This window comes from Homo sapiens, chromosome 5 (assembly GCF_000001405.40).
Source record: "Homo sapiens chromosome 5, GRCh38.p14 Primary Assembly".
Taxonomy (NCBI): Eukaryota; Metazoa; Chordata; class Mammalia; order Primates; family Hominidae; genus Homo; species Homo sapiens.
Window position 1 is genome coordinate 108,223,831 of NC_000005.10, and position 17,490 is coordinate 108,241,320.

Here is a 17,490-nt window from a genome sequence, read left to right on the forward strand (position 1 = left end):
CTAAGCACAATATATTAACATTTAAATGATTCTTTTCATATATATTTCTTTGATATATATTTCATAGCCATTAGCAATGAAAAAGCAAAAAGCTTCTTGTTTAAATGAGTATTCCATTTCAGAAAGGATAAGTTTGGTATTGCTTTCTTCAACTCATTTTAACTTTTATCAAACATTAGTAGGCTTCTATAATGGTCTGACTGTCCCTTATTCAAGTAAATTAAACAATTTAGGGCTCATCACCTGTATGATACTCAAAAATACCAAGGAAAAGCAGCCATAGTACCTACCTTGGTTAGGTGAATGACTCCTTTAGAAGTGACTGAACAACCCATGAAGCCTACATATTGAAGCTCAGGACAGTGTTCAGCAAATGCTTTCACTGACTGATCTGTCACCTAGGGAAAAGACATGGATGAAATTATTCAAGGTAATAGTCCAGTGAACTCAAGGATTTGGCTCCTGAAAATCCTCTCAGCCCCACCTTGCATCATTACTATTTCCTGCCCTGTTAGATCATTTGAATCAGCATACAAACATGCTATAATATTCCTGTATTTTTAAAAGTCATCTCTTGACCCTACATCCACTTCTTATCACCCCATGTTTTTATACTTCTTCAGACATGTTGACACTGGCTACCTCCAATTCTTTACCTTCTCCCCTCCCTCTGTGTGTGTATATATATGTATATGTATACACACACACACACACACACACACACACAAACACACACATATATGGTTGGTTTGTTTTGGGGTTTTTTGTTTTGTTTTGTTTTGACAGAGACTCACTGTGTTGCCCAGGATGGAGTGCAGTGGCACAATCTCGACTCACTGCAACCTCCGCCTCCCAGGTTCAACTGATTCTCCTGCCTCAGCCTCCCAAGTAGCTGGGACTACAAGCATGCATCACCACACCCAACTAGTTTTTTTGGTTTTTTTTGTTGTTGTTGTTGTGTTTTGTTTTGTATTTTTAGTGGAGACGGGGTTTCACCATGTTGGCCAGGTTGGTCTCAAACTCCTGACCTTAAGTGATCCAGCCTCCTTGGCCTCCCAAAGTGCTGGGATTACAGGGGTAAGCAATCACACCCAACCAATATATATTTTTTTATTGACATTTAATTCACATACCATAAAATTCACCCTTTCAAAGAGTACAGTTCAGTATATTCGCAAGTTTATGCACCATTACCGATATCTAATTCCAGAACATGTTCACCACCCCCCAAAGACCCCATGCCCATTAACGGTCATTCCCCTATTTCCCACTACCTCCAAGCCTGGCAATCTACATTTTCCTATTCTGAACACTTTATATAAAAAGAACTACCAGTTTGTGACCATTTATGACTGGCTTCTTTCACTTAGCATAATGTTATCAAGGTTCATCCATGTTGTAATATGTGTTGGAATTTCCTTACTTTTCAAGGCTGAAAAATATTCCATTGTATGGATATACTACATTTTTATGGGTTGAATTATGTCTCCTTAAGATTCATATTTTGAAATCTTAACCCTCACTACCTCAGAATGTGATCTTATTTGGAAATGGGGCAGCTATTTCCAATAGTGAAGTAAATAGTTAATTTAGGATGAAGTTGTACTGGAGTGAAGTGGGCTCCCAATTCAATATAACTGGCGGAGCAGAGATGCACACACAGGGAGAATGCCATGTGAAGACTGGAGTTATGCTGCACAAGCCAAGGCACACCAGATTGCCAAAAAGAGTGCCAGAAGTTAGGCAAGAGGCCTGGAACAGATCCTTTCCTAGCACTTTAGAAGAAACATGGCCCTGCCAACACTTTGATCTTGGACTTCCAGGCTCTAGAACTGTGACACCATAAATTTCTATTGTTTAAGCCACTCAGTTTGTGGTACTTGGTTCTAACAGCCCTAGCAAGCTAATACACACATTTTCCACTCTCTCTTGATCTCATAGTAATCAAGGTTTTGTCCCTCTCATTCATTGTCACTATCCTATCAATTAAATGGTCAATCTCAATTATCCCAGCATTTCAGCAGTATCTGACACAACTGATGATTCTTCTGGAAACAATTCATTTGCTTCTTGTATCAACTATCATGGCTTTCCTCCTTCCTTACTTTTGGCTCTTGGTCACTTGGTTGAGTCTACCTCATCTCAGTCCTCAGCTCATTTCTCTTTTCCGTCTTACTTCATTCCTTAGGTGATCAAAACTAATTGCATGGCTCCTTAATAACTCTCCTAGTCCCTCTCTGTGTCTCACCACACTTTGATTTTCTTCATAACACTTATCACTACTGATCACATTACACACTTACTCACATATTAGTTTGTCACTCTTCCCCTCTCAAAATAACTCTTCCCTCCCTCTCCCCTAGAATAACCAACCATTCTGATTTGCCTCGGACAGTTTCAGTCTTAGCACTGAAAAGTCCTATGACCCGGAAAACCACTTAGTTCCCCATCGGCACCTAGAATAATCCCTGGCACTTAGTAGAAAATATTGAAATAAATAAATGAATTTTTTTCCTTCTTTCCATGTCCTCCATCATACCTTTTACTTCTACTTTATTTTATTTTTAGACAAAGGATATATTTGTATCATTTTAATATATGATTTTTTAAATGTCATTGTACTAGTGGCTTTATTTTCTGATACAGTTCATGTGTCTTAAGAAGTCTTTTTTTAAAGAACTGGGAGGAGGCACATTTTTACACCAGTGACTCAACTTTGATCTGTACCATGGTTAATTTTCTATATCAACTTGACTATGCCATGGGGTGCCCAAATATTTGGTTAAACATTATTCTGGGTATTCCTGTGAGAGAGTTTCTGAATGATATTAACAGCTCAATCAGTAGACTGAGTGAAGCAGATTGCCTTCTTCAATGGAGAGAAACTTCATCTAGTCTGTCAAAGGTCTGAATAGAATAAAAAGTCAGTGTAACGGAGAATTGGTGCTCTCTCTGCCTGACTATCTTCCAAGCAGGAGATCAGTCTTCTCCTGCCTTTGATTCAGACTTGCACTGGAACTTTCACCATTGGCTCTCCCAGTTCTCAGGTCTTTAAACTTGGACTAGAATTTACACCATTAGTTTTTGTACTTCTCAAGCCTTCAGACTTGGACTGAGACTATACCAATGGCTCTCCTGGTACTCTAGATTGACAAATGGAGATCTTGGAACTTCTCAGTCTCCATAATCATGTAAGCCAATTCCTTACAACAATCTCTAGAAAGATATACAGACAGACGTACAGACAATATCCTAATGGTTCTGTTTCTGTGGAGAACCATGACTAATACCTTGAGTATTACAATCCCAAGTTTTATTATATTAAAAACTCAGAGCTGAAAGGAGTGGGGCCCAAGGAACTGTATTTTCAACAAGCCCCCAAGTGACTCTTAAGCATGTGAAAACTTGAGGCCCCCAGTGCTTCAAAGAAGTTACACTGACAGTGTTTTGTATTTCTAAGCAGCCCTGCTTTAAATGAATGGCAGAATAAAATTCCTTTTTCGTCTCCCGCACCTCCAAAAAAATTTCCATTTACAAAATTATCTTCTTGTAATTGTGCTTAAATTTTCTTCATGTTTCCCAAAGATGTAGCTTATAAAAGAAAGTCCAAATATTCTCTATCATATGCTTAATTTCAGATTCACTTTCTTCACAGTCAAGATGAGATCGACAAATTTAACATCTTTGTTAGTTTTTCAAACAATAGCAACTTACATCTCTTTGGCATTAGCTTTAGCATGGGTGACTCTTTTTGTATCTTCCTTACCTATGCTGAACAGATATTGGAAGAAAGAAGTATGTGAGTAGCATTAATGCTAAAACAATCATAAGAACATTTTCCTAAAATAATGAAACCAACAGCATCTATGGTACATGTGATAAAAGATTAATTCTCCCCTCAAAAGTAAAGTATGCTTAAGCATATTAAGACTAAGGATGCCATTGATAAATTTAAAATAGGCTTTCCTGACACTTAGCATTCTAAAGGCATTATGTTAACAAAGAATTTTTAAGGCACTAAAATTGCTGGAAGCTTCAATGAAACTCAATCACTATTAAAAACAAAAAGGGGTAACAGAGGTTAAGTACATGGTCAGTTGGTTAAACACCCTGCTCAATTTCAGTCTAACATTAAGTTTTTCCTATATCCATCTTCGAGGAGAGGAGAAGAACTCAGATGAGGATTAAGGACACAAGAAAACTCAGGTCCAAGAGGCCAGAGCATTCAGAGAGAAAAAGTGGGGTTTGAAAATGTGCTTCTTGGGTCTTTCTCTTTCAGCTCAAGCAATCAGAATAAGATAGCTCAGAGGAGCCTCTAACATCAACAGAGCCCTGGAAAGCAAGACAAGATTGTGTCATGGGGATACAGAAACACTCTTAGCAGGCTTGGGTATGTTTTAGGAGACTAATAAAAGGGCCTTGAAGATTTGGGTGGCATCCAGCTCCACTCCCCAAGGATAGAAGATCAGTTAGGGATTTGTGGCAGAAGGTCTGGAAGAAACAGACTATAGACTACAGGATGCAGCTACTGGGACCCTGGAGTCTCACTTCTAGCTTCTCTGGGACCCTGGAGTCTCACTGTCTAGCTTCAAATCCCAACTGGACCACTTACTAGCTGTGTGATTTTCAACAAGTCATTTCTCCTCTCTATACACTTTGTTCATTCTATAATATGGAGAAAATTACAGTACCTACCCCACAGGGTAAAATGTGAGGGTAAAATAAGATAATGCATGTAAAATATTTTGAACAATGCATGGCACATTGTAATTGTTCAATAGATTTTAGCTATTATGATAATCACTCCAGGTTCCCCTTTCTTCTGTATTCCGATTCTTAGCCAGGACTAAAGGGTTGAAATGCATAAGAGAATATTCAAAAAGAGTGTATTTAAAGCATTATAGTTTCTTCTCCTGGTTATCACAAGAGATCCTGATCATAATTTGGGGGTTTTCAGTTATAATCTAAACTATGGGATGGCTGTAAGGGAGACATAGGTGAAAGTTTGTTACTGACTCCCTATGGTAGAAAGAATGCCATTTTGTTAAGGCTCTTAACCGAGTTGCACACAAGAATCACCAAAGAAGATTTCTAATTTAATTTGTTGGGTACAGCTCTGCAGCAATTTTATTTTAAAAGCTCCGCAGGAGATTCTAATGAACAAATTCTAATGCCTTCCATTCAAAGTGTAGTTCTCATTCCAGCAGCACTGACGTCACTTTGGAGCTTGTTAAAAATGCAAAATCTGTAGATTGCTTTTAGCAGTATGGTCATTTTCACAAAATTAATTCTACTCATCTATGAGCATGGGATGTGCTTCCATTTAATTCCCATTAAAATACCACCATCATTCTTCACAAAACTAGAAAAAACAATCCTAAAATTCATATGCAACCAAAAAAAGAGCACGCATAGCCAAAGCAAGACTAAGCAAAAAACAAAAACAAAAAACAAATCTGGGGGCATCACATTACAAGTTCAAACTATACTGTAAGGCCACAGTCACCAAAACAGCATGGTACTGGTATAAAAATACGCATATAGGCCAATGGAACAGAATAGAGAACCCAGAAATAAACTCAAATACTTACAGCCAACTGATCTTAGACAAAGCCAACAAAAACATAAAGTGAGAAAAGGACACCCTGTTCAACAAATGGTGCTGGGATAATTGGCAAGCCACTTGTAGGAGAATGAAACTGGATCCTCATCTCTCACCTTATACAAAAATCGAATCAAGATGGATCAAGGACTTAAATCTAAGACCTGAAACTATAAAAATTCTAGAAGATAACATCGGAAAAACCCTTGTAGACACTGGCTTAGGCAAAGACCTCATGACCAAGAACCCAAAAGCAAATGCAACAAAAACAAAGATAAATAGGTGGGGCTTAATTAAACTAAAGAGCTTCTGCACAACAAAAGGAAGAGTCAGCAGAATAAACAGACAACCCAAACAGTGGGAGAAAATCTTCAAAATCTATGCATCTGACAAAGGGCTAATACCCAGAATCTAGAAGCAACTCAAACAAATCAACAAGAATAAAACAAACAATCCCATCAAAAAGTGGGCTAAGGTCATGAATAGACAATTCTCAAAAGAAGATATTCAAATGGCCAACGAATACATGAAAAAAATGCTCAACATCACTAATGATCAGGGAAATGTAAATCAAAACCACAACGTGATACCACCTTAGTCCTGCAAAAATGACCATAATAAAAAAATCAAAAAGTAATAGATGTTGGCGTAGATGTGGTTAAAAGGGAACACTTCTACACTGCTGGTAGGAATGTAAAACTAGTAAAACCACTATGGAAAACAGTGTGGAGATTCCTTAAAGAAATAAAAGCAGAATTACCATTTGATCCAGCAATCCTACTACTGGGTATCTACCCAGAGGAAAAGAAGTCATTATATGAAAAAGATACTTGCACACGCATGTTTATGGAAACACAATTCACAACTGCAAAAATATGAAACCAGCCCAAATGCCTATCAGTCAATGAGGGGATAAAGACATTGTGGTATATATACACAACAGAATATTTCTCAGCCATAAAAGGCAATGAATTAATGGCATTCACAGCAACCTGGATGGGACTGGAGACTATAATTCTAAGTGAAGTAACTCAGGAATGGAAAAACAAACATCATATGTTCTCACTCATAAGTGGGAGCTAAGCTATGAGGATGCAAAGGCATAAGAACGATACAATGGACTTTGGAGACTCAGAGGAAAGGGTAGGAGGGGGGTAAGGGATAAAAGACTACATATTGGGTTCAGTGTATACTGCTCGGGTGATGGGTGCACCACGATCTCACAAATCGTCACTGAAGAACTCACTCATATAACTAAATACCACCTGTTCCCCAGAAACCTATGGAAATAAATTTAAAAAAAAAAAAAAGCAAAATCTAAAGGCATAAGAATGATAGAATGGACTTTGGGGACTTTGGGGGAAGGGTTGGGGGGCGCGAGGGATAAAAGACTACAAATAGGGTGCAGTGTATACTGCCCGGGTGATGGGTGCACCAAAATCTCACAAATCACTATTAACGAACTTACAAATGTAACCAAATATCACCTGTACTCCAATAAGTTATGGAAATTTTTTTTAAAAAAAAGCAAAATAGTAGGCCCTGGCACAGACCTATTAAATCTTAATCAGCATTTTAGAAAAATCCTAGGGTGATTCTTATACACCTTAAAGTTTGAGAAATACTGCTCAAGTGATAAAGAACTATGTCATCTTCTTGGGGTGAGATGAAGCAAAAACTAAATGGCTATGCCATAATCCAAGCACTACGCATAATTTTTAAACAGCTTTATTGAGGTACAACTTATATGCCATAAAATCCATCCATTTTGAGTATAATTCGTCAAGTTTTAATAAGTTTATACAGTTATATAATCATCACCACAATCCAGTTTTGAACACTTTCATCACACCACCCAAAAAATTCCCTCTATATTCTATGCTCATATACAGTTAATCACAGCTCTCACCCACAGGCAACTACTGATCTGCTCCCTATCTCTATACTTTTACCTTTTCTAGAAACTTCACATAAATAGAATTGTGTCATAAGTAGTCTTTTGTCTCTAGCTTCTTTCACTAATGTAAGGTTTTGAGGTTTATCCATGTTAGTCCATGTATCAGGAGTTGTGGAAGTGGCACCACTCACCATTACCCGTAGTGATCCACTAGCAAAATGTGTGCTTCCTGTTCCCGCAACAGTACATTCTGCTGGCCTAGAGGTCTTAGTTCCAGAGGAAACACTGCCACCAAGAGACACAACAATGATTCCATTAAACAGGAAGTTAAAATTGCCACCTGTTCATCTTGAGCTCCTCCTACCTTTAAGTCAACAGGCTAAGAAGGGGGTTACAGTGTTGGCTGGGGTGACTGACAGGACTATCAAGATGAACTCAGTCTACTACTCCATAAAAGAGATAGGAACACAGGAGATCCATACAGGATACAGGAATGCATGGAGTACAGGAGATCCATTAGGGCTTCTTTTAGTATTACCATGCCCTGTGATTAAGGTCGATGGGAAACTACAACAGCCCAATCCAGGTAGGACTACAAACGGTCCAGACTCCACAGGGATGAAGGTTTGGGTCACTGTACCAGGAAAAAAACTATGACCTGCTGAGGTGCTTGCTGAAGGCAAAGGAATACAGAATGGGTAGCAGAAGGTAGTCATCAGTACCAGCTGTGACCACGTGACCAGCGACAGAAACAAGGACTGTAACTGTTATGAGTATTTCCTCCTTCTTTTGTTAAAAACATGTTTGTGAATGTATACACTTGTGCTAAGAAAATAGCTTAATTTTATTTCCTTTTCCTTCATCATGTGACATAAGATTTATTGACTTTACATAAGCATTTAAGTATTGTTAACTTTATGTAATGGTATTTGGGTTGGGGATTGGTGTGTTTCCAGTTGTACAAAGGATAGTTGCATTAAGTTAGGTGTAATTATGACCTTATTATTGTCTTTATTTGAATATTATGTATGATCTCAGGAGATGTGTATGGGTTCAAGTTGGCAAGGGGTGGACTTGTGATGATTAATACTGTCAACTTGATTGAATTGATGGATACAAAGTATTGGTCCTGGGTGTGTCTGTGAGGGTGTTGCCAAAGGAGATTAACATTTGAGTCAGTGGGCTGGGGAAGGCAGACCCACCCTTACTCTGGTGGGCACCATCTAATCAGCGGCCAGTGAATATAAAGCAGGCAGAAAAATGTGAAGAGGCAAGACAGGCCTAGCGTCCCAGCATACATCTTTCTCCCGTGCTGGATGCTACCTACCCTCAAACATTGGACTCCAAGTTCTTCAGTTTTGAGACTCGGACTGGCTCTCCTTGCTCCTCAGCTTGCAGACAGCCTATTGTGGGACCTTGTGTTTGTGTAAGTTAATACTGAATAAGCTCTCACATATATATATATATATATATATAATATATACTATTAGTTCTGTCCCTCTAGGGATCCCTGACTAACACAACAGTTTATTCATTTTATTAATGAGTAGAATTCCACTGTATGGATATACTACATCTTGTGTATCTATTCACCAGTTGATAAATACTTGAACTGTTTCCAATTTGGGGCTTTGACAAATAATGCTGCTGTGATCATTCAAACATAAGTATTGTATGGACATATATTTTCATTTCTCTTGAGTAAATATCTAGGAGTAGAACTGGTGAGTCACACAAATGTATGTTTAATTTTTCACCAATTTTTAAAATTGGGTCATTTGTCTTACTAAGTTGCAGGAGTTCTTTATATATTCTGAATAAACACCCTTATCAGATATTTGTTTCACAATTGTTTTTTTTGCACTCTGTGCCTTATCTTTAATTTTCTTAATGGTGTTCTTAGCTCTGACATTTAGGTCTATGATGTTCTCAGAGTTCATCTTTGTTTATGGTGTGAAATAAAGGTAAAGGTTCATCTTTTGCATATGTATACCAATTTTGCCAGCACCATTTGTTGAAAAGACGATACACTATAGAGGAATTTTAAAGCTCCTGCCTGGAACACCTTGAAGAATCATACATACTCACAGGCTATGGGAAAACCAGGCAATAGGTAAGAATTAGTACGCAGAGAAAATGTGACTCAGGATTTGGAAAGAAGCATCAGAAAATCAGGGAAGAATGAGATCAGCTTGCAAAGCACATTTTGATCTTTCAGTCAGTCAATGCTGTGATAGAGACAAAGAGAAAGATAACCCTCAGATTCAACATGATTCACATGGCAGAGGTAAAGAACGATCTTCTCCTTAAGTTGGCATTCTCAAAGCCAAGCTACACTTTTATAACTGCATGAAATGGATGTAGGCACGTTTAGTGTTACACCAGGAAAAGCACTGGTGATAAGGAATGTCTGTTGTACTAGAGTCAAAAGGACCATTAAAAGCCTGCATAATGTCAACACACATCAAGATCCTAGTAAAGCTTCAGTTTAGAAATCTTAAGCTGCTAAACCTAAGGCAAATGAAAACCAGATACCCAGGGTGCAAAAGGGAAGAGGAGGAGAATGTTGGTTCTCATAAGCTCTTGAGGGCTGCACTCAATCAGAAATCTTTTGAGGGTGGATTCCTGTGAGATCAAATGTAGGGACAAAAGAAAAGCCCCTGCAGGAGGTGGAAATAATAGGCTTAGAAAAATGCAGAGTTGGGGGACAACAGTAATAGCGACTGTGGCAGAAATGGCCATATATAACTAAGAAACTCTTGGCTAGAAGAAGGATAAAGAGAAGACAGGCAGTACAGGGTCACCAATTTTGCTTGGAGAGTTACTGTTTCTAAACATGATTTGGGACTGTGGATTACTCTACTTATAAACTTGGAGATTCAGTCTCTAGACGGCTCACACTCAGCCGAGGTTTGGGGTACTAGTTGCCACCGGGTTGAAGAGAGAATAGACAATAAAAATAGCTACATTTACTAAGGCCTTAACGTGTGCCCAGCTAAGTCCTCTCTATCCATCATCTGAGAGCCTCATAATAATATTGAGAGGCATAATTATCCCCACTTAATGGATTGACTTCCTCCTCCAAATCAAACCACTAGCAGGTGGCAAAACTGGGTTTTAAACACTGGCCTTTTAGGCTTTAAAACCTATGCTTTGTATGTTATACCAATTAGGATATGATTCTTTTCATGGAACTAATCTCACTCAAATGCAAGAGCAAATCCAAGGCCTTCCTTTAACCTCCAGAGAAGTAGAGTGGCAGATATCAAGGCACAATGGGTCTACTTTCTAGGGAATTTTCTGAGAGAAGTGTTACCACTTGATTACTGTTTTCATCTCCTGCAGATAGAATCGGTGTGGTACTGATGGTATGATAGTCTTGTATGTCCTGAGAACTGCTCCAAAACATGGAAGCATAGTAGAGAGTTAGGGGAATCTAATTCAGAGGTGTTGAAGAAGCTGCATTAGTGGTAGTAAATTATAAAACCATAAAAGTAGTAACTGGAATCCAAGGAAGCAGTTTTATCTAGAAAGGATTAAAATTAACAAAGAAAAAAAAGTAAGGACAGGGAAAGCTCTTCTATAAATTTCAAGATTCTAAATAAAGAGATGCAATGTAGTCTTATTTTAAGACTTGAAGTTTTCTTGGACTATAGGAAGACAGATCTATCTTTATCAGAATAAGATTGATTCAATGAAATAATTTTGTAATCTGTGCTGAAAGATATTTTGGGAATAATTGCTAGCATATCTGGGATGAAAAGGAATTTGGTGTACTAATTCTAAAAAGGTGGAATGAATCTTTGGACATTTTAATACTGCCGGATTATAGAGTTAATCTGTGTAATTCTACATGCATGTACCAAACAATATAACAGTATTTCTTGATCTTAATTAGAAACTAAAAAATTTTCCTAGACTTCACCCCAGACTACTAATTCAGAGCCTGAAAACATATACTTCTAATCCTTCTCTTAATGATTCTTATGGAATCGATCCAGAAAGTCTCATGACTAAATCTCGTAACAATGGCTAACTGGACCCATCGTTATACTAGCACTGTAAAGATGGCCTAGAATATACATTGTGGTTATCTCTTTGCCCATTTCTACTGCCCCCACCATGGCCAAAGATATGTCATTCTTTTCCGGGATATTTGGAATAACCTACACAATGGACCTCCTTCTGCCATTCTTGATGCCACCAATCTATTTTCCACTCATCAAGTCAGAGTGATCTTTCAAGAAGCACAAATCATCAGATCATGTCAGTCTGCTATTCAAAATCCTCCAGTGGTACTCTTAAAATAAAATCCAAACTCCTTTTATAACCTATAAGGCCCCGCATGATCTGATCCCATCTCATCTAATTCATTTCATCCCACTATCCCCTCTCCTTGATCACTTTGTGATGATCTTTCCATTTATCCTGTTCACTACTCTAGCCCTAGAGTTTGATACAGTGTCCCACGTACAACAGAAGCTCCAGAAATTAAAATGAATGAATGAAGTATCTTTTTGATGCATGCCAATGGCTTGCTGGTTCAATACTGAAGAAATACATTTTTTGATGCAAAGAAAAACAGAACTATTGATTTTATTGGTTCCATGTGGCACACACAAGTAGTGGCTAAGAATTAGATAAATGGCTTCACAAAGCTAAGGAGAGAATTTCCAAAAAAATCAATAGCAATACTTTGATTCTTCAATATGTCTGAAGTGAACTGAAAAACCAATGTGGGATTAGTGGCACATGCCTGTAGTCCCAGCTACTTGGGATGCTGAGGCAGTAGAATCACTTGAGCCCAGAGGTCGAGGCTGCAGTGAGCTTGGACCATACTGCTGCACTCCAGCCTGGGTGACAGAGTGAGACCCTGTCTCTTAAAAAAAACAAGCAAACAGGCCAGGCAGGGTGGCTCATGCCTGTAATCCCAGCACTTTGGAAGGCCAAGGCAGGAGGATCATTTGAGGTCAGGAGTTCAAAACCAACCTGGCCAACATGATGAAACCCTGTCTCTACTAAAAGTACAAAAAATTAGCCGGGCGTGGTGGCAGGCGCCTGTAATCCCAGCTACTCAGGAGGCTGAGGCAGGAGAATCACTTGAGCCTGGGAAGTGGAGGTTGCAGTGAGCAGAGATCACGCTATTGCCCTCCAGCCTGGGTGACAGAGCAAGACTCTGTCTAAAAAAAAAAAACCAACAACAACAACCAAAAAAACACAAAACAAAAACAAACAAACAAAAACAAAAAGCAAACAAACAAATATCAATGACAATGTGGAAGAATTACCAGGGGTGAACAACTAATCTCACTTGAGACCTCAAGACCAATTCAAGACCTTCTTTCCACCCTCAATGAAAAAGAGCAAAACAGAGACCCACAGCATAGCAAGGCTAATTTCTGGGTCATTTTCCGGGAGAAATACCAATCGTTGATTAATTTTTTCATCTCTTGCAGGCCAAGTAGTCAGTGGGCCCATAGGGTACCCTCATCTTCTGAATGCAAAAGAAAGCCAGCATAAAGTAATCTCCTTAGACTAGGCTCTGCCCTGACTAAGCTTATACAGGAAAGGGAAATTATTTCCATCTGTTCCAATGAGATTTACCAGTCTAAAACAGTCATATAGATTCGGGTTAGGAGTCTGTGGAATAGTTTGGTTGTCTGACTATCCTCTCTGCCATGTAGTAGGTGGTAAAAAAAGACAGCAACGGTGGGCATTGGGACAGGTTACTGGTTTAGGGAACCATAAGAGAATATACTCCAATCCTGAACAGCTACCCTAGTCCACTGAGTCAACATTATCTTTGAAATAATAAAGACACATTTATAGTGTGTCTAATGAAGGGTTTATTTCACTTAGGTATACTCAGACTCCTAAATCCCTTTAATTCAACAAATATACAAGCACCTACTACATGCACAACACTTCATGTTAAGTGCTGATGCTGTATGAAGATGAGGTACAGTCTCTGCCTCCAAGAGCAGAGGTAATAGGTTGGGATGTGAAGAGTCCTAGCTCCCACAACTACCAGTGAGATCTCTGGGAATATTTTAATCTGCAGCTTGCATCCCAGTTCGGTTCAGTTCAGTTTCCCAAGGACTTCTGACTAGAACCAAAAGCAAGTTTGAAGAGAGAACAAGATTATGGGAGACCGAAAGCCAGCAGAATGGTTGTGACTTTATACTGAAGGAGTCTATTTTATTAGCAATATAGAGACATATGAGCTTAATGGACTTTAATATCCCCTTGAGTTCCAACAGATTGCAGGTCCATGACTGATGGAGTCATTCATTAAGGGCTTTAAGTGCAGGGTAATAAAGAGAAAGTTGTACTTCAAAGTCCAGCAGGTATACACAAGACCAACTAAAGGAATATTTCGGCCTCAAGGAGGCTGGCCAGGAGGCTATGGATGCAACAAGCCCCATGTACCCAGAAGATGATAACATATCACACCCCAGGGCACCTTAGTTAGGCCTAGCCACATGCCAAAGTCAGTAAACATCCATATCTGATGCTCTACAGAGTACATAAAGTACTGTGATGACAGAAATACCAAATGAAAGAAATTTATTTAAATTCACAAAAAATATAAATTATACTTATTAGAAGCCTTAAAAATGGAACGCAAGAAAATTTTTCCATTTGTTTACTCAACTCTTCAAAATCCATGTGAAAATTATCTTTTATCTTTACCTTCCTTTGCTTTTATGTATTTACATCTTTTACAGGGTACAGTATGTATACCTACTATTAATGCACCAGGAAGCCTTCTTATTTGAAACAGTAATACAAAAACAGAGAACACATTGGCACTTGTCACATAACAGCTAAAAATGGTGACAGAATACTTCGTATGGATTCACTTTATAAATCATTTCAGTAAGACTCATCACTGTGCTCTTCATTTAATGAAAACTTCATATCTAGTAAATTTTTAAAAGAAATCTAAAAGCAGATTATTTAAAGTACTTTTCTTTTAAACCACAGTCAAGACAACAATATTTACTGAGTTCGTGTTATGCGCTAAGTACCTTGCTATATACAATGATTAAGAAAGACAGGCTACCCTCTTGGAGCTTACAATTTAGTAAGAAGGGCACATGTTAAACATCTATTTCAAGTGTGATCACTGTATTAAAATGGTCATTTGCATTAGTCAATGAATTGTGACTTTTTAATTTTTATTTACTTATTTTGGGGGAACAGGGTCTCATTCTGTCACCCAGGCTGAAGTGCAGTGGTGCAATCACAGCTCACTGCAGCCTTCACTTCCCAGGCTCCGGTAATCCTCCCACCTCACCCTTTCCGGTAGCTTGGACCACAGGCATGCACCACCTTGCCAGGCTAATATTCTTTTTTTTGCATTTTTTGTAGAGACAGGGTTTCACCACGTTGCCCAGGCTGGTTTTGAACTTAAGCAATCCAGCTGCCTCAGCCTCCCAAAGTTTTCAGATTACAGGTGTGAGCTACTGCACCCAGCTGAACTGTTACTTTTTATATATGCCATAATTCCATGTGTGGTTAACGTGGAAAGCAGCCAAACACATGACTAAAAATTACAGTAAATTAGTACAAAATATTTTTCTCAAATATTTTAAGTTGTAATTATATGACTGATATCATTTCAGTAGAGAGCTATAACAAATATTACTTTTTAAATAAATAAATGTTGCTTTTAGAAATCATGAGAAAACAAAATTTAAGAACTTATATGTACTAATATAACTTTGACATTTTTTTTTTAGAGACAGTGTCACACACTGTCACCCAGGCTGCAGTACAGTAGCGCGATCATACCTCACTGTAGGAGGCAGAGCAAGATGGCTGAGTAGAACCTGCCTGCAATTATCCTCCCTGCGGGAACACCAAACTGAACAACTATCCACATAAAAAAGCACCTTTTTAAGAACCAAAACTCAGGTGAGTGATCACAGTATCTGGTTTTAACTTCATATCATCGAAAGAGGCACTAAAGACAGCTGAAAAGACATACTTGAATTGCCAACACCACCCCTCTGCATCCCCTGGCAGCAGCCACAAGGCACAGGGAGTGAATCTGTGTGCTTTGGGAAGAGACAGTGCCATGACTCTGTGACCTTGCATTGGAACTCAGTGCTTCCCTGTCATAGCGGAAAGCAACACCAGGCAGAACTACGCTGGCGCCTATGGAGGAAGCATTTATACCTGCCCTAGCCAGAGGGGAATTCTCATCCCAGCAGTCAAAACCTGAGTTTTGGCAAGCCTCCTACTGTGGGCTGAAGTGCTCTGGGGTTCTAAATAAACTTGAAAGGCAGTCTATGCCACAAAGACTGCAATTCCTAAGCAAGTCTTGTGCTGGGCTCACAGCCAGCGAAACTGAAGGGCACATGACTCAGGCAGACACCACCTGGCGGGAGCTGGGGGACCAAGGGAGTGCTTGTACCACCCCTTCCTCACCCCTAGGCAGCACAGCTTGCAGCTCCAGGAGAGACTCCTTCCTTCCGCTTGAAGAGAGGGAAGAGTAAAGAGGACTTTGTCTTGCAATTTGAGTACCAGCTCAGCCCCAGTGAGGTAGAGCAGCAGGCAGAGTCCTGAGGCCCGTATTCCAGGACCTAGATCCTGGATGACATGTCTAGATACACCCTCAGCGAGAAAAGAACCTGCCATCTTGAAGGGAAGGACCTTGGCCTGGAAGGATTCATCATCTGCTGACTAAAAAGAGCCCTTGGGGCCTGAATAATCAGAAGCAGTACCCAGGCACTACTTGCCATGGGCCTTAAGTGAGACTTAAGTGCTGGCTTCACGTGTGTCTCAGAGCATTCCTAGCTGTTGTGGCTATAGGGAAAAAAACTCCTTCTACTTGAGAAAAGAAGACATTAAAGAGGACTTTATCTTGCAGCTTAGGTACCAGTTAGGCCACAGTTGGGTAGAGCAACAAGTGGTCTATTGGCATCCCTGATTCCAGGCATTAGCTCTTGGATGGCATTTCTATAACTACCCTGAGCCAGAGAGAAGCCAACTGCCCTGAAGGTGAGTCCTAGGCCTGGCAGCACTCATCATAAGCTGACTAAAGAGCCTTTGGTCCTTGAATGAATATCATTGGTAGCCAGGCAGTACTCCCTGTGGGCCTGTGGTAGTGGTGGCCATGAGAAGAGACTCCTCTTCTTATGGAAAGGGGTAGGAAGAGTGGGAAAAACTATCTTGTGGCTTGGGTACCAGCTCAACCACAGTAGAATAGAACACCAAGTAGGTTCCTAAGGTTTCTGATTCCAGTCCCTAGACACCAGATGTCATCTCTGGATGTGCCCAGGACCATGGGGAACTTGCCACCCTGAAGGGAAGGATACAAGCCTGGATGGCTTGACCATCTACTGATTGTAGAGTACTAGGGCCTTGACTGAACACAGGCAGTAGCCAGACAGTGATTATACTGCAGCCCCTGGGCAAGACCCAGTGCTATTCTGGTTCAGGTCTCACCCAGCACAGTCCCAATGGTGGTGGTCACAGGGTGCTTGTGTCACCCCTCCCCCAGCTCCACGTAGCTCAGTGCAGGGAGAGAGACAGAGAGAGAGAGAGAGATTGATTCCATTTGTTTGGGAGAAAGTTAAGAGTCTCTGCCTGATAATTCACAGAATTCTTCCAGATCTTATCCAAGACCACCAAGCCGGTACACCTCTATGCAAGAGCCACGGCATTGCTGGAAAGCCTTCCCAAGAAGGATGGGTATGAACAAGCCCAAACTGCAAAGACTATAACAAATACCTCTTTAATGCCCAGACACCAATGAACATTCACAAGCATCCAAAAGCCCATCCTGGAAAATATGACATTACCAAACAAACTAAATAAGGCACCAGTGATCAATCCTTGTGAGACAGAGATACGTGACCTTTCAAAGAGAATTCAAAATAGCTGTTCTGAGGAAACTCAATGAAATTCAAGATAACGCAGAGAAGGAATTCAGAATTTTATCAGACAAGTTTAACAAAGAGACTAAAATATATTTTTTTAA

At 39.6% G+C, this 17,490-nt stretch overlaps 1 protein-coding gene across 8 annotated transcripts in view; it reads right to left on the bottom strand.

Annotated features, from left to right (window-relative positions):
- Nucleotides 1-17,490, bottom strand: part of FBXL17 (F-box and leucine rich repeat protein 17) — a 523,064-nt gene that overhangs the window by 364,796 nt on the left and 140,778 nt on the right. For all 8 annotated transcript variants that reach the window (NM_001163315.3, XM_005272048.5, XM_011543574.4 and 5 more), the window contains exon 5: nt 291-398. In NM_001163315.3, coding sequence (NP_001156787.2) covers nt 291-398 — 108 coding nt within the window. The remainder of the gene's footprint in view (nt 1-290; nt 399-17,490) is intronic.